Source organism: Homo sapiens, chromosome 12 (assembly GCF_000001405.40).
Source record: "Homo sapiens chromosome 12, GRCh38.p14 Primary Assembly".
NCBI lineage: Eukaryota > Metazoa > Chordata > Mammalia > Primates > Hominidae > Homo > Homo sapiens.
Genome location: NC_000012.12, coordinates 103,988,932 through 104,011,691, shown reverse-complemented (window position 1 = coordinate 104,011,691; position 22,760 = coordinate 103,988,932). Strand labels below are relative to the sequence as shown.

At 40.8% G+C, this 22,760-nt stretch overlaps 1 protein-coding gene across 18 annotated transcripts in view, besides 1 other annotated feature; it reads left to right on the top strand.

The window, feature by feature from the left end:
• The window catches only part of GLT8D2 (glycosyltransferase 8 domain containing 2), a 75,451-nt gene extending 52,746 nt beyond the window's left edge, over positions 1–22,705 (top strand). For 17 of the 18 annotated variants that reach the window (NM_001384713.1, NM_001384719.1, NM_001384718.1 and 14 more), the window contains 7 exons: positions 8,386–8,557; positions 12,178–12,295; positions 14,157–14,241; positions 14,845–14,957; positions 17,191–17,357; positions 18,188–18,300; positions 22,115–22,705. In NM_001384713.1, coding sequence (NP_001371642.1) covers positions 8,386–8,557; positions 12,178–12,295; positions 14,157–14,241; positions 14,845–14,957; positions 17,191–17,357; positions 18,188–18,300; positions 22,115–22,284 — 938 coding nt within the window. In that variant the 3' untranslated portion in view covers positions 22,285–22,705. Of the gene's footprint in view, positions 1–8,370; positions 8,558–12,177; positions 12,296–14,156; positions 14,242–14,844; positions 14,958–17,190; positions 17,358–18,187; positions 18,301–22,114 lie in introns of all 18 variants that reach the window. The other variant, NM_001384712.1, reaches the window with a different exon arrangement.
• Positions 14,345–14,514: an enhancer, noted in NCBI's record as "experimental_23681 CRE fragment used in MPRA reporter constructs". NCBI's record gives its function as "activates a minimal promoter by MPRAs in K562 erythroleukemia cells, with activity observed for the non-introgressed 12:104391041 variant allele {active_cell/tissue: K562}" and the evidence as "EXISTENCE:reporter gene assay evidence [ECO:0000049][PMID:34662402]".
• Positions 22,706–22,760: the final 55 nt, after the last annotated feature.

The following is a 22,760-nucleotide window of genomic DNA, read 5'->3' as shown; positions in this document are numbered from 1 at the left end:
TTTGAAAAACATTAATTCAAAGAACTAGTGTTCTAAGTTGATGTCCAGAGGCCCTGTGAAGTCCTACGTTCAAGTAAAACATGGCGGTATTCTCTGTAATATCCCCATTGTGACACTCCATGTAATCTCCCGATACTTCTCTTGTGACTAGTGTGCTGGTCACTCGCAGCTGTCCCACTTGGGGAGAGGTAAGCTGATACACTTGGCTAAAACAATCCTTATTTGAAATGGAATTCTGAGTCATGGCATTAGGAAAGCAGACATTTCCTTTCTTCTAGGAATAGGCGTGGCTTGATCAGAGCTGCTTATGGAATGGACGAAGGCAGTATCATTTCTGTTCCATTCTGCCAGCATTGTGATGTTTACTATTTTTGTTAGGCACCAAATAGTTTCCCATAGCCAACATTTTAATGCTTTGGCTCAGGCACCAGTTGGTACAATGAATCCAAATAATGGAGCAGATAATTCCTAAAGAAACTGCAAGGATGGAGCATTGATGAAGAAGGTACAGTTGATAAGCCTTTCTGCCACATTTCTCCAGTGTGCATTTGTCCTTCATTCTGTCCAGGGGGAACTTTTTGGCAGAGAGCAGTATTTTTGGCTTAAGTTAGTGCTCAGTTTCTCTACCTGGCAGAGGCCCCTAAGGAGTGTGGCAGTGTCATGTGTTGGCAGCAGAGCTGGACACTCAATGTTTGACCTTTTTCTGGAGTGTCCCCTCTTTTATGAGGACACTTTCCTTTTACCTTGTGCTTCCCACAGTCTGCTGAAGGCCTCCGTCTGACTCTGGCAGCCAGGCACAGCCCCAGCTTTTTTACCCTTCCCTCTTATTCCTCAAGGGCCCTGTTTTCTGAGACTCATTCATCAATTCCATTTAGTTCATTCCAGCAAACTTTCATTAAGCACTTCCAAAGTGCCAGACTCAGTGGGGATAATATAATGAGCTTACAGTCTAGTGGAGGAGACAGACACATAAATAGATTCTTCCAGGCATTGTGGCAAGTGCTCAAATAGAGATATCTAATATTCACCCATCTATTCAGATCGTATTGAAAATCTACTATGTGCCAGGCACTGGGACAGCTGCAGAGGATACAGAGATGAACAAAATACCTGCCCTCACAGAGCTCCTAGTGTAATAGGAGAAAGAGGAAAGACATGCAACCAAATAAATTCCAACGCAATTAATAAATTCAACCATAGGCAAGGCCACAGCATAGAGAAGGTGCGTGTTAATTTATGTGTAGGGAGGTATTAAAGGCTTCCCAGAGGATCTGATGTCAGTACTGCATTTGGAATGAATATGTAAGGGTTAGCCATGCAGAAAAGGATATTGAAATCATTCCAGGCATTGGGAAGGAACATCATGTGCAAAGGCACTGAGATAAGAGTAGTGTTCAGGGAACCACGAGGGCTTTGGTGTTGCTAAAATAGAAGGAGGTGAGGCTGGAGAAGTGAGCAGGGGCTGGATCATGAGGGGTCTTGTGTGCCAGGCAAAGAAATGTGGCTTTACCTTTTAGGAACCAATGAGGAACTTTCAGCAGCAAAGAAACGTCAAATTCTCATTTTTTGGCAGATCAGTTCACAGCCAGCAGGTAACATATCACATGATACCTCCATAAGATTACAACTTAGTCCAAAAGGAATAATCCTTAAGAAACTTTTTTTTTGGTTTGTTTATAAAAATAATTCATGGTTTGTATTAGTCCGTTTTCATGCTGCTGATAAAGACATACCTAAGACTGAGGAAAAAAAGAGGTTTAATTGGACTTACAGTTCCACATGGCTGGGGAGGCCTCAGAATCATGTGGGAGGTGAAAGGCACTTCTTACATGGCAGCAGCAAAAGAAAATGAGAGATACAAAAGTGAAAATCCTTGATAAAACCATCAGATCTCATGAGACTTATTCACTACCATGAGAACAGTATGGGAGAAACCATCCCCATGATTCACATCATCTCCCACTGGGTCCCTCCCACAACATGTGGGAAATATGGGAGTACAATTCAAGATGAGATTTGGGTGGGGACACAGAGCCAAACCATATCATTCTGCCCCTGGTCCCTCCAAATCTCATGTCCTCACATTTCAAAACCAATCATGCCTTCTCAACAGTCCCCCAAAGTCTTGACTCATTTCAGCATTAACTCAAAACTCCACAATCCAAAGTCCCATCTGAAACAAGGCAAGTTCCTTCTGCCTATGAGCCTGTAAAATCAAAAGCAAGCTAGTTACTTCCTCTTCCTAGATACAGTGGGGGTACAGGTATTTGGTAAATACAGCCATTCCAAATGGGAGAAATTGGCCAAAACAAAGGGGTTACCCCTGTGCTTGTCCAAAATCCAGCGGGGCAGTCAAATTTTAAAGCTCCAAAATGATCTCCTTTGACTCCAGGTCTCGCATCCAGGTCATGCTGATGCAAGACGTGGGTTCCCATGGTCTTGGGCAGCTCTACCCTGTGGCTTTGCAGGATACAGCCTCCCTCCCAGCTGCTTTCATGGGCTGGCATTGAGTGTCTGTAGCTTTTCCAGCAACGGTGCAAGCTGTCAGTGGATCTACCATTCTGGGGTCTGGAGGATGGTGGCCCTCTTCTCACAGCTCCACTAGGCAGTGCCCCAGTAGGGACTCTGCGTGGGGGCTCTGACCCCACATTTCCCTTCTGCACTGCCCTAGCAGAGGTCCTCCATGAGGCCCCCGCCCCTGCAGCAAACTTCTGCCTGGGCATCCAGACATTTCCATACATCTTCTGAAATGTAGGTGGAGGTTCCCAAACCCCAATTTTTTACTTCTGTGCACTCACAGGCTCAACACCACGTGGAAGCTGCCAAGGCTTGGGGCTTGCACCCTCTGAAGCCATGGCGCAAGCCCTATGTTGGCCCCTTTCAGCCATGGCTGGAGTGGCTGGGACACAGGGCACCACGTCCCTAGGCTGCATGCAGCACAGGACCCTGGGCCCAGACCACAAAACCATTTTCTCCTAGGCCTCCGGGCCTGTGATGGCAGGGGCAGCTGTGAAGCCCTCTGATATGCCCTGGAGACATTTTCCCCATTGTCTTGGGGATTAATGTTTGGCTCCTTGTTACTTATGCAAATTTCTGCAGCCAGCTTGAATTTTTCCTTAGAAAATGTTATTTTTTTTTTCTATCACATTGTCAGGCTGCAAATTTTCTGAACTCTTATGCTCTGCTTCCCTTATAAAACTGAATGCCTTTAACAGCACCCAAGCCACCTCTTGAATGCTTTGCTGCTTAGAAATTTCTTCTGCCAGATATCCTAAATTATCTCTCTCAAGTTCAAAGTTCCACAAATCCCTAGGGCAGGGCAAAATGCCCCTGGTCTTTTTGCTAAAACATAACAAAAGTCACCTTTGTTCCAGTTCCCAACAAGTTCCTCATCTACATCTGAGGCCACCTCACCCTGAACCTTATTGTCCATGTCTCTAACTGGCTTTTGGTCAAAGCCATTCAACAAGTCTCTAGGAAGTTCCAACCTTTCCTACATTTTCCTGTCTTCTTCTGACCCCTCCAAACTCTTCCAACCTCTGTTTGTCACCCAGTTCCAAAGTTGCTTCCATATTTGTTGGTATCTTTTCAACAACGTCCCACTCTACTGGTACCAATTTACTGTATTAGTCCGTTTTCATGCTGCTGATAAAGACATACCTGAGACTGGGAAGAAAAAGAGTTTTAATCGGACTTACAGTTCCACATGGCTGGAGAAGCCTCAGAATCATGGCAGGAGGCGAAAGGCACTTCTTACATGGCAGCAGCAAGAGAAAGTGAGAGATGCAAAAGCAGAAACCCCTGATAAAACTACCAGATCTCATGAGACTTATTCACTACCATGAGAACAGTATGGGGAAAACCACCCCCATGATTCAGATTATCTCCCACTGGGTCCCTCCCACAACATGTGGGAATTATGGGAGTATAATTCATGATGAGATTTTGGTGAGGACACAGAGCCATACCATATCATGGTTACTTTAGTCAATTTGGAAAGTATAAGAAATACAAATAAAATCAAAATCACTCCTAATTCCATAAATAGACATAGGTCCATTTGCAAATATGTATGTATCAAATAGTGATCAAATACTAGAGAGAATTTTGTATTCTTTTCCTCCTTAACAGTGTTTTATGAGCATTCTCTCATGTCAGTAAATATATTGTGAAAACAAAATTATTCTAGTGGTGGAAATTTCAGATGCAGTAGCAAGCTGGTAGAAAAGACATAGAAGGAGAAAGAGGAGGCCATTCAATGTGTCTTAAATTACACAAAATGCAGTACCTGGTAGTTAATTTCAAGAAATGCTTATTGAATGAAATATCAGCTAGAACTACCCTGGACCTCAGGGATAGAGGTTTTCCAAAAAGGATCTGGAAAGAGAAGGGGGAGGGGGAGAGAGCAGGTGGAGAGAGCGGGGGGAGAGAGAGAGAGAGAGAGAGAGAGAGAGAGAGCTTTAAGTATAAATCAGATGAGTACTTTATAGTGGATACTGAATACTCTGCTTATGGATCATTATTCTTCTCCATGGCTGAAAGTTGTATTGCGGTACTAAAGTATGATGTTATGGCTTTGGTATTTTATAGCATAGCCAGGCTCAAAAGAATAATTAATTATTTATCTTGTGCATTAGTCATGTTCTTTCATTTACCTCCTTCCTCTTGCTGTCAACGTTTGAGAAACTTGACTAGAATGGGGATAGGAGAGGGAAAATCACAACCAGTATCTTATAGCAGTGTAGGCAAAGTAAATATTCTGATTCAGGGAAGAGTTGAGGACTGTTGGACAAATGAGGCTTTTCAGTTCTTTGTATGTTTTTTAAGTGTGTGTGTGTTTTAGGCTAGCCAACTGGCTCCTGTAAGATAGCTCCAAAATAATAGATTTTGTGTTATGATCAAAAGGGCTCACAGCCTTATGTGCTAGAATCCAACACTATGACCCCAGATTTTGAGAAAAGCAAAGCTTTTTCTTGTAAATCGTCTAACAAGGACACAGGAGCCCAGCTCAAATCTGTCTCCCTGTGCTGGCTTTAAGGCAGTAATTTTATTAGAAAAGGCTCAGGGGTGGATTCTGGGATTAGTAGGTGATTGATGGAAGAGGAGAGGAGGTCTAAAAGGTCCTGAGGCATGCACAGTTATCTCTTCATGCCACCTCATGGGTCTCATGTGCAAATCTGGGAGGAGTTAGTTTGAAATACAGGGTGGAAATCCAAGCTGTGACATCAGCAAGCTTGTTCTGCACAAACTTCAGTTGACCAGATTGGTTCCAACTGATTTCAGCCAGTTTCTTTTATTTATTTATTTATCTATTTATTATACTTTAAGTTTTAGGGTACATGTGCACAATGTGCAGGTTTGTTACATATGTATACACGTGCCATGTTGGTGTGCTGTACACATTAACTCGTCATTTACATCAGGTATATCTCCTAATGCTATCCCTTCCCCCTCCCCCCACCCCACACCTGGTATGTGATGTTCCCCTTCCTGTGTCCAAGTGTTCTCATTGTTCAATTCCCACCTATGAATGAGAACATGCAGTGTTTGGTTTTTTATCCCTGCGATAGTTTGCTGAGAATGATGGTTTCCAGCTTCATCCATGTCCCTACAAAGGACATGAACTCATCCTTTTTTATGGCTGCATAGTGTTCCATGGTGTATATGTGCCACATTTTCTTAATCCAGTCTATCATTGATGGACATTTGGGTTGGTTCCAAGTCTTTGCTATTGTGATTAGTGCTGCAGTAAACATACGTGTGCATGTGTCTTTAAAGCAGCATGATTTATAATCCTCTGGGTATATACCCAGTAATGGGATGGCTGGGTCAAATGGTATTTCTAGTTCTAGATCCTTGAGGAATCACCACACTGTCTTCCACAATGGTTGAACCAGTTTACAGTTCCACCAACAGTGTAAAAGTGTTCCTATTTCTCCACATCCTCTCCAGGACCTGTTGTTTCCTGACCTTTTAATGATCACCATTCTAACTGGTGTGAGATGGTATCTCATTGTGGTTTTGATTTGCATTTCTCTGATGGCCAGTGATGGTGAGCATTTTTTCATGTGTCTGTTGGTTGCATAAATGTCTTCTTTTGAGAAGTGTCTGTTCATATCCTTCTCCCACTTGTTGATGGGGTTGTTTGTTTTTTTCTTGTAAATTTGTTTGAGTTCTTTGTCGATTCTGGCTATTAGCCCTTTGTCAGATGAGTAGATTGCAAAAATTTTCTCCCATTCTGTAGGTTGCCTGTTCACTCTGATGGTAGTTTCTTTTGCCGTGCAGAAGCTCTTTAGTTTAATTAGATCCCATTTGTCAATTTTGGCTTTTGTTGCCATTGCTTTTAGTGTATTAGACATGAAGTCCTTGCCCATGCCTATGTCCTGAATGGTATTGCCTAGGTTTTCTTCTAGGGTTTTTATGGTTTTAGGTCTAACATTTCAGTCTTTAATACATCTTGAATTAATTTTTGTATAAGGTGTAAGGAAGGGGTCCAGTTTTAGCTTTCTACATATGGCTAGCCAGTTTTCCCATCACCATTTATTAAATAGGGAGTCCTTTCCCTGTTTCTTGTTTTTGTCAGGTTTGTCAAAGATCAGATGGTTGTAGATGTGTGGTGTTATTTCTGGGGCCTCTGTTCTGTTCCATTGGTCTATATCTCTGTTTTGGTACCAGTACCATGCTATTTTGATTACTGTAGCCTTGTAGTATAGTTTGAAGTCAGGTAGCGTGATGCCTCCAGCTTTGTTCTTTTGGCTTAGGATTGACTTGGCGATGCGGGCTCTTTTTTGGTTCCATATGAACTTTAAAGTATTTTTTTCCAATTCTGTGAAGAAAGTCATTGGTAGCTTGATGGGGATGGCATTGAATCTATAAATTACCTTGGGCAGTGTGGCCATTTTCACGATATTGATTCTTCCTATCCATGAGCATGGAATGTTCTTCCATTTGTTTGTGTCCTCTTTTATTTCGATGAGGCAGTGGTTTGTAGTTCTCCTTGAAGAGATCCTTCACATCTCTCGTAAGTTGGATTCCTAGGTATTTTATTCTCTTTGAAGCAATTGTGAATGGGAGTTCACTCATGATTTGGCTCTCTGTTTGTCTGTTATTGGTGTATAAGAATGCTTGTGATTTTTGCACATTGATTTTATATCCTGAGACTTTGCTGAAGTTGCTTATCAGCTTGAGGAGATTATGGGCTGAGACGGTCGGGTTTTCTAAATATACAATCATGTCATCTGCAAACAGGGACAGTTTGACTTCCTCTTTTCCTAAATGAATACCCTTTATTTCTTTCTCCTGCCTGATTGCCCTGGCCAGAACTTCCAACACTGTGTTGAATAGGAGTGGTGAGAGAGGGCATCCCTGTCTTGTGCCAGTTTTCAAAGGGAATGCTTTCAGCTTTTGCCCATTCAGTATGATATTGGCTGTGGGTTTGTCATAAATAGGTCTTATTATTTTGAGATACGTCCCATCAATGCCTAATTTATTGAGAATTTTTAGCATGAAGGGCTGTCGAATTTTGTCAAAGGCCTTTTCTGCTTCTATTGATATAATCATGGGGTTTTTGTCTTTGGTTCTATTTATATGCTGGATTACATTTATTGATTTGTGTATGTTGAACCAGCCTTGCATCCCAGGGATGAAGCGCACTTGATTATGGTGAATAAGCTTTTTGATGTGCTGCTGGATTCAGTTTGCCAGTATTTTTTTGAGGATTTTTGCATCAGTGTTCATCAGGGATATAATCTCAGAAGCAGAAAGAGTTTCATCATTTCAGCATTTTATTCTTCTAATCTATCATCCTGCAAACTCGAGAATTTCTATTAGTCATTGGTTTCTTTAACTCTTTGGGGGTATGGTTTCAATAGCGACATAAACAAAATAGAAGTTTATTTCCTCTCTCAAGTATAAGTCTGATGTATCAGTTCCACAATTATCCAGATCAAGATTCCTTCTATATTATGGTTTTGGTGACCTCAACAAGTAGCTTCCATCTTGTGGTCTAAGCTGGCAACTCTAACTCCCACCATCATATCAACAGTCCAGCTAATGGGAAAGGGGAAAGGCAAGGGGGTGAGTGAGCATTCCTTTGAAGGGTAGACCCAGCAGTGGCACACATTACTTAAACCAACATCCCATTGGTCAGAACTTGATCATATAGAGCTGCACGGGAGTTGGTAAAATAGTCTTTGTGGTTGGCTATGTACCAGCTAAAATTCCAAAGTTCTTTTCTAAGGGAAGACAGAATGACTAGATATTGGAGAACAATCAGCAGTCTCTTCCACACTATGCCATCTTCCCCCAGGAGTATGGAAGATGCATTAAACTGGCTCTACTGTGAAATTCTTTCATGTTCCAAGACACCAGTTTTTATGTTTCCAGATGATGAATCCGAGACTCCTGAAGAACTGGAAGAAGAGATTCCTGTGGTGATTTGTGCTGCAGCAGGGAGGATGGGTGCCACTATGGCTGCCATCAATAGCATCTACAGCAACACTGACGCCAACATCTTGTTCTATGTAGTGGGACTCCGGAATACTCTGACTCGAATACGGTAAGTTATGTCTTACAGACTTTGGCACTTTCTGTTTCCTTCCCCTCTCTCCTTCCCTCCCTCCCTCCCTCCCTACCTCTTCTTCTTCTTTTCTTTCTTTCTTGCCTTCTCTCCCTTTCTCTCTTTCTCTCCCTCTCTCTTTCTGTCTCTCTCTCTCTCTCTGTCTTTCTCTCTTTCTCTCTTTCTTTCTGATAGGATCTTGCTCTGTTGCTCAGACTGGATTGTGCGGTGGCGCAATCACAGCTCACTGCAGCCTTGACCTCCCTGGCTCAAGCAATCCTTCTGTTTCCACCTCCCAAGTAGCTGAGACTACAAGTGCATGCTACCACACCCAGCTCATTTTCTAATTTTTTTGTGGAGAGCGAGTCTCTCTTTGTTGCTTAGGTTTGTCTTGAAATCCTGGGTTCAAGCAATCCTCCCTCCTCAGCCTCCCAAAATGCTGGGATTACAGGTGTGAGCCACCACACCTGGCCTCTACTTTCTTATATTTCCTTAAATAGATTTCCTTTCTTTTTGGATTAAGAAAAAATAAACAGAAAATTAAAATTTGAACATATTATAAAAATGAAAGATAATTGTAAAATCTTGGTTTGGAGAGTGTCTCTCTGAGCCCAGAAATCATCCAGAAAAATGGACAGATTTGACTGCATCACATTTAAAAACTTTACAATGATGAAAAATACAAGTGAAGCTATTCATACAATAGATTAGGACCAAGTATTTTTAACATGTATTATAGACAAAAAATTACCATCCAAAATATAGAATTGTTACAAAAATTTTAAAAACATGGTTAAAAAATGGGCATAGGATATAACCAGATAATTCACAGAGGAAAAAAATACAAATGGCCAATAAACATGAAAAGGTGTTGTAGGCTGGGTGAGGTGGCTCACTCCTATATTTCCAACACTTTGGGAAGCCAAGGAAAAAGGATGACTTGGGATCAGGCTCGAGACCAGCCTGGGCAACATAACAAGACCTCTGTCTCTACTAAAAATTTTAGAAATTAGCTGAGGGTGGTGATACATAGCGGGAGGCTGAGGTGGGAGGATCCCTTGAGCCCAGGAGTTTGAGGCTGCTGTAAGCTATGATCGCATCACTTAACTCCAGCCTGGGCAACAGAGTGAGACCTTGTTTCAGCTAAAAATAAATAAATAAGGCTGGGCGCAGTGGCTAACTCCTGTAATCCTACCTGAAGTCAAGAATTTGAGACCAGCCTGGTCAATATGGCGAAACCCCGTCTCTACTAAAGATACAAAAATTTGCTGAGCATGTTAGCACATTCCTGTAATCCTAGCTACTGGGGAGGCTGAGGCCAGAGAATGGCTTAAACCCAGGAGGTGGAGGTTGCAGTGAGCTGAGATCGTGCCACTGCGCTTCAGCCTGGGTGACAGAGTGAGACTGCATCTCCAAAAATAAAAAATAATAAATAAAAAATAAATAAATAAAGTTTTTCTGTGTTATTAATAGGAAAATGTGAATTGAAACATTTTTGCATTGTTGAAAATGAAAATAAAAATGAAAACATATATGTCACTTCAGTGACAATCTTCACTCATCAGGTTGGCAAAAATTAAACAGAACAACATTACCCAGTGCAGGAAAATGGGCATGCTTATTCCTTATTTATACAATGTGCATTTTCTAAGTTGGTAAGACATTTGGCAAGGTCAACATGGCAATATCTATCAAAAGGTTGTATGCATATATAATTTGATTCACATGCCTTTTCCTCTTCCAGGAATCTGTGCTACAAAAATTCTAGTACATATTACCAAAATACGTGTACAACAATGCTAGTTTCAGCATTATGTGAATTAGTGAAAACATTTCAAAGTGCTGAAATGTCCACCAATGGAAGAATATTTAAATGAACTGTGAAATATGATCCAGATGTTAACGAAAGAAGGCACTCTGTCTAAGCAGACATAGGAGATTCCCAAGGCATATTGTTAAGTGGAAAAAACTAGCTGCAGTATAACTCGTATAGTATGATCTACTTTAGGAAATTCAAAACCCCTAACTGTAAGTGTGTACATGTACATGTATGTGTTTCTGTGAAGAAAAAGAACTGGAAAGCTATCAGATTGTTAACACTATCTCTTGGGAGGACAGAGGAATCAGGGAGGGTGCTGATGAAAGGAAGTTCAGGGTGTTTCAGTATTATTTGATCATTCAAAAGGAGAATATATTTGCATACTGCTTTTATAATTAAATGTTTTTGTAGTGGTGCCATCAGGAGGTACTGAGATCTGTAAAGGTGTTTGCCTATAATCTAAATGGCCCTTGGCTGCCCTGGGTTTTGATGTCTTGTGTATGCTTTCTGGATTTTCTGTCTCATTTCTCACTCTCCTTATCATACTATTGCTCATCATTCACTTAGCCTGTTGTTAACAGCCCATTAACTATCCATGGGTATGAAAACTAGATAACCAAATCCAAAAGGATGGCATGTATAAGGTTTCTGGGCAAGGGTTTGTCCTTAACAAAAGGCATGAACCTCATGACTTTCTGACTTTGGCCAGGGGCTATTTCCCAGTTCTTGCTGTCCAGTCTACTCCCTGCCCCCTTTTACATACTTTAAAGTTTTTTTTTTCATTGAAGTAGAATCCCAAAACAGAAAATTGTATAAATCCAGTGTGCAGTTTACTGGATCATCACAAAGTAAACACACTCATGTAACATCCAGCATGTTCTCACTAACACTTAGTATAAAATCAATCTTTTTAAGTTTGCCATTTTGATTAGTGTCCAGTGGTATCTAGAAATTTGAAGTTTCATTATTTCTAATGTCATTGAACACTTTTCCCACACACTTTGTAACCATTTGGAAGTAAGTGTTCAAGTCTCTTGCCTATTTTGCTGTTAGTCTATCTTTTTTTAATTGATATGACCAATTATTTTTTCAGATTTTGCAGATCTAAATTTTGTTCACATTTAATTCTTTTGTTGATTTTTAGTCAACAACAAATACTACCCTAGGTGGCTTTAGTCATTCGACATTTTATTTTGAGATTATTTCTACCAAGAACCTCATTATGAATTGGATACAAGATAAAAATTCTGCAAGACCAAGAAAACAGAAGGGGAGAGGGAGGGGGAAGAGAAGAAGGGGAACGAAGACAGATGGGGAAGATCAAGGGACCAAATCAAAGAGACAAAGGTAAATTCAAATCAGCCTTGGAGTCAAAACAGCAGAGTAAAAATGACTTCGATCAAAGCTGAAGGTTCAGAATGTCCTGTTTCATAATATTTCAGAGCTGTTACCACGTGGCGAAGATAGTACCAGCAACCACAGATGCTGCTATATAAGAAAGAATACTTTTCATTCTTCCTGTTTCCTGGGGAAATTATTTGGATCTGGGGAGAGATTTGGTTATTACTATTTTGCTTCATTTCCTTTGCAGAAAGAGTTACGTGATTGAGGGGAAAAAAAGATTTAAAGTCAGACCAGATGGGGAGAAAAGTCAGAGGGATTTATTGGACTAAACTCTACTAAATTTACGCACATTTTAATTTTAACTTTCTAGGGAGGCAACAGATTGACCTTGGGGCAATAGGCAAATGGAGGAAAGAATTGAAGGGTATACTAGAGGTTTTTTTGGTCATCTTTTTAGAAAATGGATTGAACATTCCAAACTGAGAGAAATAAACTTTAAAATCGTGGAATTCAACCCGATGGTCCTCAAAGGGAAGATCAGACCAGACTCATCGAGGCCTGAATTGCTCCAGCCTGTAAGTAGGGACCACACAGGTGCTGGGGACAGTCCTTGGTGAGACCTTTGTTCAGTAAAGGAGTGCTAGTCACCGGGATGCATGTGGAATATTATTTTTGAAGCCATGTGGAGTTGATCTCCACCAAACTCCGCTTATGTATAATTTATAAGCCAGCTGCTACAGAAAGGATTTAAGATGGTTTATAGAAGCACAATGAAGTTATTAAAGAAGAAGTGAAGCATTAAAAAAATGTAGAATGCATTTATGGGTGTGAATATGTCTGTGGGGGTGGGAGCTGGAGGAGGGCCAGGTAGCTGAGGCCAGGAAAAAGAGTCCCAAACCCACCAGCTGTTGGGATATTTAACTGTGATTGTACGTTAAAGCTGCCTCGGAGTGTCCGACAGCTAAGAAAAAACAGTAGTATGATGGATTATATACTTCATAGTATTGACTAAGATAATATATTCAGGAGACACCATCTCTTTTCCTAGCATTGGAAATCTTAAGGTATTTTACTGCAAGAGTTCTTACAAAAGGGACCCTCTCCTGCATAAAAAGTGGTGTTTTTGGCTGGACGTGCTGGCTCGTGCTTGTAATCCCAGCACTTTGGGAGGCTGAGCGGGGAGGATTGCTTGAGCTCAGAAGTTTGAGACCAGCTTGGGCAACATATTGAGACCCTGTTTATACTTAAAAAAGTTTTATTTAGTGGCCAAGCGTGGTTGCTCATGCCTGTAATCCCAACACTTTGGGAGGCCGAGGCAGGCGGATCGTGAGGTCAGGAGTTCGAGACCAGCCTGGCCAACATAGTGAAACCCCATCTCTACTAAAAATACAAAAATTAGCTGGGCATGGTGGCAGGCACCTGTAGCCCCGGCTACTCGGGAGTCTGAGGCAGGATAATCGCTTGAACCCGGGAGGTGGAGGTTGCAGTGAGCCAAGATTGCACTATTGCACTCCAGCCTAGGCAACAGAGTGAGACTCCGTCTCAAAAAAAAAAATTTTTTTTTAATTAGCTAGGCATGGTGGCATACCCCTGTAGTCCTAGCTACCTACTCAGGAGGCTGAGGTGGGAGGATTGTTTGAGTCTGGGAGTTCGAGGCTGTAGTGAGCTGTGATCATGCCACTGCACTCCAGCCTGGGCAACAGAGAGAGACCCTGTCTCAAAAAAGAAAAAAAAAAAAAAGAGTGGTGTTTTTGATAGCAGTTCTACAGAAACTGCAGCCACCTTCTACATATGATTGTTACTTAAATTCATCCCTGAAAATTTACTTAATTCTGAGCCCTCTGTCTGTGATATGATCTTCCCCCAATTCCAGATGTTGTCAGAGTACAAGCCATGACTTCGGAGGAAGCAATGTTGTCAGTAATGAAACTTCGAAGTTCCTACCCACAGGTCATGCTGCTCCTTTTTCTGGTTCAAGGAGCTAAAAGGTTGAGCTTGCTGTTGGAATGACACACGTGTGTGTGTGTGTGTGTGTGTGTGTGTGTGTGTGTGTGTGTATTTAAGGCTGATTTAATTGACAATTATCAAAATTACTGAATACAGAGAAAGGCAGGCGATTTGTGCCCTAAAAGTGACTAACGAGCCTCTGTGACTCCCACTACAGCAGTTCGCAGAGATGAAAGTGGCAACAGCCTCGGCACTAGGGGGTTTGTATCTAGGAGAACGGCCGATCCGTCAGCGCTGGCTTCAGCCCCAGGCCTCAGATAAGTTGGGCACTGGGAAGCTCAGATGAGACATCTTGCTAGCTCCTGTTTTATTCCGCTCCAAACCTGGAGCTGAGCTGAGGCCATGGTCAAAGCCGACTCTCCAGTACCCCCAGAAGACACTAAGCCATATGCCTCTCCCCCACCATCATTTCTTTTGTCGTTTTAACAGCTGAACTTTGTTCGATTTTATCTCCCTCTACTTATCCACCAACACGAGAAAGTCATCTATTTGGACGATGATGTAATTGTACAAGGTACTCTCGCTAACTGCCAAGAACACTTGGAAAAGAAGCAGCTGATAAGTAGAATAACTGTCTCTCTTCATTTTTCAAATAACTAATTGTGCAGCAAGTTTTGACTGCTTATTTAAGTTGTGAGTACAGTATTGTTGTAAATGTGGAAGTATTTTGGAAACGGGTTGATACTTACTGAGACAATCCAGTTGACACTCTGATTGTCAAAACCAGCAATAAATAGCTTGGTAGCCTTTCCTTTCCCTGTATGCCTATAATGTACGGAAATAAAGTGTCACGGATGACATTCTTAGGAGTGAGCTAAGTTTTGGTGTTTAAATGTTGTGTTCTATCTCTTCCACTACAAACAGGATACGCATTGGTGTGGTATCTACTTAGCAACAGAAATAAAGAAATTAGATCAGTGCCAGTTTGAACTCATCATCCAGTGGCTTTCTAAATCTGTAGGCAAGACTCTTAATAAATAAATAGTCAAGCCACTTGAAATCAGGGATCCAATACTCTTCTCCCATAGCAAAATCAAGAGCTGTTTAAGCTCTAAGGCTCTATCTAGCCCAAAAACAAATGCTATAATGTTTTACTTGGTGGTGTTTCTAAATTCAGGTGATATCCAAGAACTGTATGACACCACCTTGGCCCTGGGCCACGCGGCGGCTTTCTCAGATGACTGCGATTTGCCCTCTGCTCAGGACATAAACAGACTCGTGGGACTTCAGGTGGGCATATGCTGTCTCAGAAATCCTCCCTTCACTCTACAACTCTGGCCCCTTCTCCCCCCTCTGCAAGTCAAAATGAGTGTAACCTCCACCTCAAAAACCTTATGGGCCAGTCTGGACTGCAGGGAGGTGGAACAGTACAGGGGTCTGGGACTTTGGTTCATATCTTAGCTCCATGCCTTACCAACTCTGGGGCAACTTTCTTTAGCCCTGCAAGGTCCCACCTTCCTTACCTGAAACATGGGAACAATCATGTCTACTTTGTTGTGTCTTTGTGAGCAGTAATGAAATAACATGGTGTCCAAGTGTCCAGCATGAAATAAAAGCTCCAGAAATGATCATTGTTACCTAGGTTGCTCATCACCATGCTCTCTGTCAGAGATGATGTTTTCTGTAAAAGAGACTTGCTGAACCATTGGTTCTATTTTCAGAGTTTTGACCATCACTTTTATCCCCCTTCCAGTAGAAGAAAATATTGATTTTGTTAAGGGTAAAGATCTCCTTACCCTGATGGAACTGAGGAAAGTTGAACCTACATGCAATGCTGAAACCGAAGGGGTAGCTTTGAAATATGAGGTGTTATTAAGAGTTAAATGCTGTTTTTCAAAAAAGCTTCTAGCAAATAATTTTATGTATGTGGCATTTTAAGGCACTTCAAGGCATAGGCTCTGGGACCAGATTCAATTTTGTCAAAATCTGGGCACTATCACTTGGTAGTTTTATGACCTCGGGCAAGTTACTTAGCCAGTTGTTTCTACCTCATTTGCCAAACAGAGGTAATAATAGTACTTCCTTTGTAGTTATCGTGAGAATTAAATTAGTTAACACATATAAAGCTATTACATGAGAGTAATGAGGTAGTACATGTAAAGTTCTTAGAAAAGGGCCTGGTGTATAGAAAGTACTCAAGTATTTCCATGACTCCTGTGTGAGGTTTGAGAGCATCACATTAAGGAATTATAGATGATAACAGTCTATATGGGTGAAAGAATGTGTATGTCCTGCCCTGTACAACATTCATTCAACAATGACTTATTGAGTGCTTACTCTGTGCCTGACACTGTTTTAGGTACTAGTAATATAGTGAGCAAAACGAAAACTCCTGCTTTTGTGTATTTCACATTCTAGTGGGAACAGACAGACAGTAAACAAGTAAAATATTTAACAGAGGATTGGGGTGGAGGCAGGGCTGTATTTTAAATACAGTAATCAGGGAAGGCTCCACTGAGATTGTGCTGTTTGAACCTAAACTTGAAAGAATTGAGGGAACCACCTGTGCAGATGGTTAGAGGGGAAACCCTCCAGGAAGCGGGAAGAACAAGTGTAAAGATCTTGAGGCAGGGGTGAGTCTGGTTCATTAAAGGTGGTCGCTGTTGCTGAGGGATCAAGAGGAGAATAACAGGAGTTGGAAAGGTATTGGAGGGTCAGATGATATAGGGTATGGCAGGCCATTTTAGGAAATCTGGCTGTTTCTGTGAATGAGATGGGAAGCTATTGGAGGAGCTTAGAGGAGATGAGTGACCTAGAGACAGAGTGGGGTGGAAAATAGTGGAAGCAAGGATACTGGTTAGGAGGAACTTGCAGAAATCCATTGAGTGGCAATTATGGCCTGAACAGGAAGGTAGCAGTGTGGTAGTAGTGGCAAGAGAAGTGGTTGGCTTCCAGCATTTTGAAGATGGGACCTACACCATTTGCTGAAATATTTGGATGAGAAGAGAGTGAGAAAAAAGGAGTCAAGGAGGACCTAATGACCCCAGGTTTTTTGCCCAAGTAACTAGAAGGATAGAGTTGCCACTGACTGAGGTGGGGCAGGTGCAGGGAAGCAGGTTTGGGATAGGATTGGGATCAATTTTGGGATGTAAGTTGGAGCTGCCTTTACTAAGCATCTGAAAGGAGACATTTGGATGGCAGATGTAGCAGGAGTTGGAAGTCCAGAGGAGAGGTCAGGGCTGTCAGATGGGTGGTATTTAGAGCCATGAGACTGGACAAGGCTGTTTATGGAGTTATTGCTAGAGAAAGGCACTAGTGCTGCACTCAGACTTAGGGCATTCAGCATTTAGAGGTTGGAGAAATGAGGGAAACCAGCAAAACAAAACAAAAACAACAAACTACCCAGTGGCCAGTGACACAGGAGGAAACCCAAAGATACTGCACAAGGGTTTCAAGAAAATGATCATTTTCCAGAAACAAAAGATTCGCTGGTCAAAAGCATGCACATCCTGTTCCCTTACAGAACACATATATGGGCTATCTGGACTACCGGAAGAAGGCCATCAAGGACCTTGGCATCAGCCCCAGCACCTGCTCTTTCAATCCTGGTGTGATTGTTGCCAACATGACAGAATGGAAGCACCAGCGCATCACCAAGCAATTGGAGAAATGGATGCAAAAGAATGTGGAGTACGTGAAGGCTTCTCTACCATTTTTTCCATGCTTGGAAACAAAATCATTCAATTAATTTTCCACACATAGTTCAAGGGTTAGAAATATTTCACAGTCATCTCAGGTCAGATTTTCTTACAGAGGCAATGTTAAGAAAGAAAAGGGGGCAGTCAATTAAAACCTTTCCTCAAAAGATATAAATCAGAGGAATCAAGATCCTGTGGAGCGAGGAGTCCCTGATTATACATTTTCCTAGTAAGCTGTTGAAAAATGTGACTTGAATCTTTTCCACCAAACAATCTTCATTTATCTTAGTTGAGTTTCCCCTCCTAACATAGATTTTTTTATTAAGGATTATTATATAAAGTCAATTTTGCTTTTTAAGGTTTATTTTTATAATTTATAATTTTTCGTTATCGGAGTTTTAAAATAGAGAAGATAAAAATAAGTCTAATACAAGCACTATTATCCCATCATTGTATTGCCTAGCAGTCTTGTGTATCTGGATATTTTAATACCATCATAACCTTGAATTTGCAAGTAAAGTTATTCTAAATAATGTAGGATTCGAATTTGATCTCCTGTGTCTACTATTTAAAACCCTGGGAGTTAAAATGGCAAAATATTAACACTGTTACTCTAGGTGATGTATATAGGAGTTCATGGTATTCTTACTATTTTGTGTATGTTTGACAATTTTCAAAATGAAAATTTGGGGGAGAATGAAAGGCCATAAGTCTTAGTACATAGTGAGATAATGTCTTACATCATTTACAATATCAGATTCGACTTTATCTGAGTTTGTGGGGGCTCCAGGCCAAATGTTGTTTTTCTATTTCATTTCTTAGGGAAAACCTCTATAGCAGCTCCCTGGGAGGAGGGGTGGCCACCTCCCCAATGCTGATTGTGTTTCATGGGAAATATTCCACAATTAACCCCCTGTGGCACATAAGGCACCTGGGTAAGTATTTCAGAAAAACTGTTTAGAAAAACGCAAATGTCCATTTTATTTTTGTATTTTTGAGACAGAGTCTCGCTCTGCTGCCCAGGCTGGAGTGCAATGGCGTGATCTCGGCTCACTGGAACCTCCGCTTCCTGGGTTCAAGCAATTCACCTGCCTCAGCATCTCGAGTAGCTGGGATTACAGGCATGTGCCATCACGCCCAGCTAATTTCTGTATTTTTAGTACAGATGGGGTTTCACCATGTTGGCCAGGCTGGTCTCAAACTCCTGACCTTAGGTGATCCACCCATTTCGGCCTCCCAAAGTGCTAGGATTACGGCATAAGCCACCATGCCCGGCCGCAAATGTGCATTTTATAGACCCAGTGAGCACCATAGCGAGGAGAGGGTGCTACATACAGCACCAGGTTGTTCAATTGAAATCCTCCAGGTGACCTTGGACAAATGACTTGACCCTCAGTGCTCAGATTCAGCAAGTGCAGCTGATATTCTGAGCTACCTGAGGAGCGTGTTTCTGGAGATTTATGGAAAGCCATCAAATTCATGCTTAGCATATAGTATGTGCTTAGTAAACATGAACTATTATAAAGAGAACTTTCGGCCGGGCGTGGTGGCTCACGCTTGTAATCCCAGCACTTTGGGAGGCTGAGGAGGGTGGATAACCTGAGGTTAGGAGTTCAAGACCAACCTGACCAACGTGGTGAAACCCGTCTCTGCTAAAAATATAAAAATTCGCTGGGCATGGGGGCAGGCACCTGCAATCCCAGCTACTCGGGAGGCTGAGGCAGGAGAATCGCTTGGACCTGGAAGGCAGAGGTTGCAGTGAGCTACGATTGCGCCACTGCACTCCAGCCTGGGCGACAGGACCGAAACTCTATCTCAAAAAAAAAAAAAAAAAAGAGAGAGAGAGAGAGAGAACTTTCACTGTCAAAACTTCAAAACCTTATTGAACTGTCAAGCCACACTTTTATTTTCTCTTGCAGTAACTTACAGTGGACAAAACCAAATAAATTAGCATAATGGCTTAGGATGAATTCAGAAAGCTGCCATTAAAATTTATCCTTTAAAAAGCAGTTGACTCTGTACTCTGTGAGTTCTCTAAGTCTTTTACTCACTACACAAGTGTAGGGTTTAGAGTATGAACTGGAATCCCAACTATGATTTGGGGCAGGTTACGGAATACATGTAAATTGCTTAGCATAGAGCCTAGCATAGAGGACACATTCACATCCACTCTAACACATGGCCACAATCCCTGATCCAAAACCGCTGGGCCAGACATGTTTGGAAGTTTAGAAAGGGTTTGGATTTTAAAAAGGTAATGTGGTGCTGAGTGGGATCTAGGTTTTACTGCCAAAGAAGTTATTAAAAAACCTTTTGTTTTCAGACCTTTGGGGATTATCTTAGAATTGTAGGCAATGGATATGCACTTATATTTACCAAGTGTCCATTACATTGCCAAGAACTGGACTAGGTTCTGTTAAGGAAGGTGAATATTATTTCTAATTCTCACAACAACCCTGCAAGGTGTTATGTCCCATAATCTTTTTTTTTTTTTTTTTTTTTTAAAGGACGTAATTGTGGAGGCTGAGTTCCTGTATGCTCTCGATGATTCTGTGGGTTGCTTCTGCATCATTCCCAGAATCCTCTGATTTTCCTGAGCATGTATATGCACAAAAGAGTGCCACAGGGAAGTTAGTGTTGTGTCTGATTTGATTTATAGTCATGTTGGGTTCAACATTAGGTCAAATATCAACCTTTCCATGTGCAGATCCCATCAAAGTAGAAGGTCTATTTTTAAATATGTGTAGGAACAGTTATGCAGAGCTTAGATCAATAAGGTTACGGCATTTTATGATCTTGAGACAGACTCAGAATTACATTTTATGAAACATGCAACTTAGGCCAGGCATGATGGCTCATGCCTATAATCCCAGTACTTTGGGAGGTTGAAGCGGGTGGATCACTTGAGGTCAGGAGTTCAAGACCAGCCTGGCCAACATGGTGAAACCCCATCTCTACTAAAAATATGAAAAATTAGCTGGGCATGGTGGCACACACCTGTAATCCCAGTTATTCGGGAGGCTGATGCAGGAGAATAGCCTAAACCTGGGAGGCAGAGATTGAACTGAGCAGAAATCATGCCACTGCACTCCAGTCTGGGTGACAGAGCTAGACTCCATCTCAAAAGAAAAAAAAGAGAAATATCCACTTTACTGACAAGTAGGAAGGGACATACTCTTCCCAAAGGAAAGATGTCGTTTTTCTTTGTAGGACAGAGCTTCCATCTGTGCTGAAGGTTTTGGAATCAGGGATGGTGTGCAAAGTAAATCTACACAAAAATCATTTGAAAAATGAGGTTTCAGGATGTTCTGGAGGCAGAAGGGCAACATAACACTAATGGGCATTAAGTTTGGGTCTAAACAGGCAGGCTTAAGATTTTTTAAATTTACAAAATATATTTAGCTAAAAGCAATTTCATCACCCAAACTGCAAGCCCCTCTGAGGTAGTTCTGCATAGCCCTTCAGTTACGAAGCTGAGAGGTGAGGATGTCCTACTTAGTAGAGACTTTTCATGGGAAGGTGCCTCTTCCCAAATGAATATTTCCTTTGCATAGACTCTGATGATTGATAATTATTCCAGTTATGCTGCGATAGTTTCAAACAACTAGTTTCTCTTCTGCAGCTGCCGTCACAGCTATGTTTATTAGTAACAGAAGCCAGGTTGTGTTGTTGTTAACGTCATACAATAGAATAACATAACCCTAGCAAATCAACCCTCTCGTAATTCAATGGACTTTCAGCTGTTTAAAGAATATATATATCAAATTCCTTTTCATGGAAAGAAAGTCGAACACTATAGAGATTTTTAAAAAATTGTACATTCACGCCACCTTAATGTAGTTCTAGAATAGGTATTCTAAAGAGTATTCTAAGCAATGGCACTGTTAGGGTAAATGCATAGTCTCTCGAAGTCATGACTTATGAGGGGAGTAATGTTCAGGTGGAGATAGATAGCTGTTTGTTTAAAAAGTAGATCTTAGTCACATTTTATATTTAGACAAGACTGTTCAAAAGCAAATGTTGCCATTTTTCATTAAGGAGGTGAAATGCAGAGAAAAAAGAACCCCTATAAACTCTTGGGTGGGAGGGAAATTAATAGAACTTCTTGGGGGACAATGCGGCAATCTCTATCAAAATTGAAAAGGCACACAACCTTCAATCTAGCAATTCCACCTACAATATTTTATCCTACATATATATATATATATATATATATATATATATATATATATATATATATATATATATTTGTACACATACACTAGACATACATAGAGGGCTGCTCATTGCTGTGTTTATGCTAATAATAGGATAGAAACAATCTAAATGTCCTTAATAAGGAACTTGGTCAATAAATAGTATCATTCTATACAGTCACTAAAAATAATTTGGTAAATCCACATGTACTGCTGTGGAAAGTTTCCCAAGACAGTAATTTTAAAAGGCAATGTCCACATAAAGAAACAAAATAATTTTTTTTTAAAGGCAAGGTAGCAGTATGCTCTATTTTGTCTTCTGTCTTTAAATATACATATACATGCATACAGGTCAAACAATGCTATAACACTACTAGAAGGATTCACAAGAGACTAACAGTGGTTGATTTGGAGACCTGGGGTGGGTAGAAAATTCACTGTATAACCTTTTTATTTGTTTACCTTTTTTTAAACTATGAACTTGTATTCAATTTATAATACAAAAATGTTATTCTCTAACAAGCCTATTATTTTTTCTCTATACACAATGAAGGCTGGAATCCAGATGCCAGATATTCGGAGCATTTTCTGCAGGAAGCTAAATTACTCCACTGGAATGGAAGACATAAACCTTGGGACTTCCCTAGTGTTCACAACGACTTATGGGAAAGCTGGTTTGTTCCTGACCCTGCAGGGATATTTAAACTCAATCACCATAGCTGATATAACTCTACCCTTAAAATATTCCCTGTATAGAAATGTGGAATTGTCCCTTTGTAGCCAACTATAACATTGTTCTTTATGAATATTACCTTTGATACATATGATCCACAATATAAAAACCAAAAACTACTGTGTGCAAATTATACCTTGGACCATATAGGCATTGATTAACTTCTTTAAGTACATGTGATAACTATGGAAATCAAGATTATGTGACTGAAAAACATAAAGGAAGAGACCCATCTAGATAACAGCAATCAACCTGCTTAATTCTGAATGACAATTATATCCACAAATTTTTAAAACTTCTACATGTATTTTTCACATGAAGATCTCCTTAACAGGTTGCCAACCTTTTCTTTTATAAAACTATTACATTTAAAATATGGACGTCTGAAAAATAAAATATTCATCATTTTTATGATTTTTATCATGTTACTATTCTACATGTTAAATATAATAGAAGGTAAACTGAC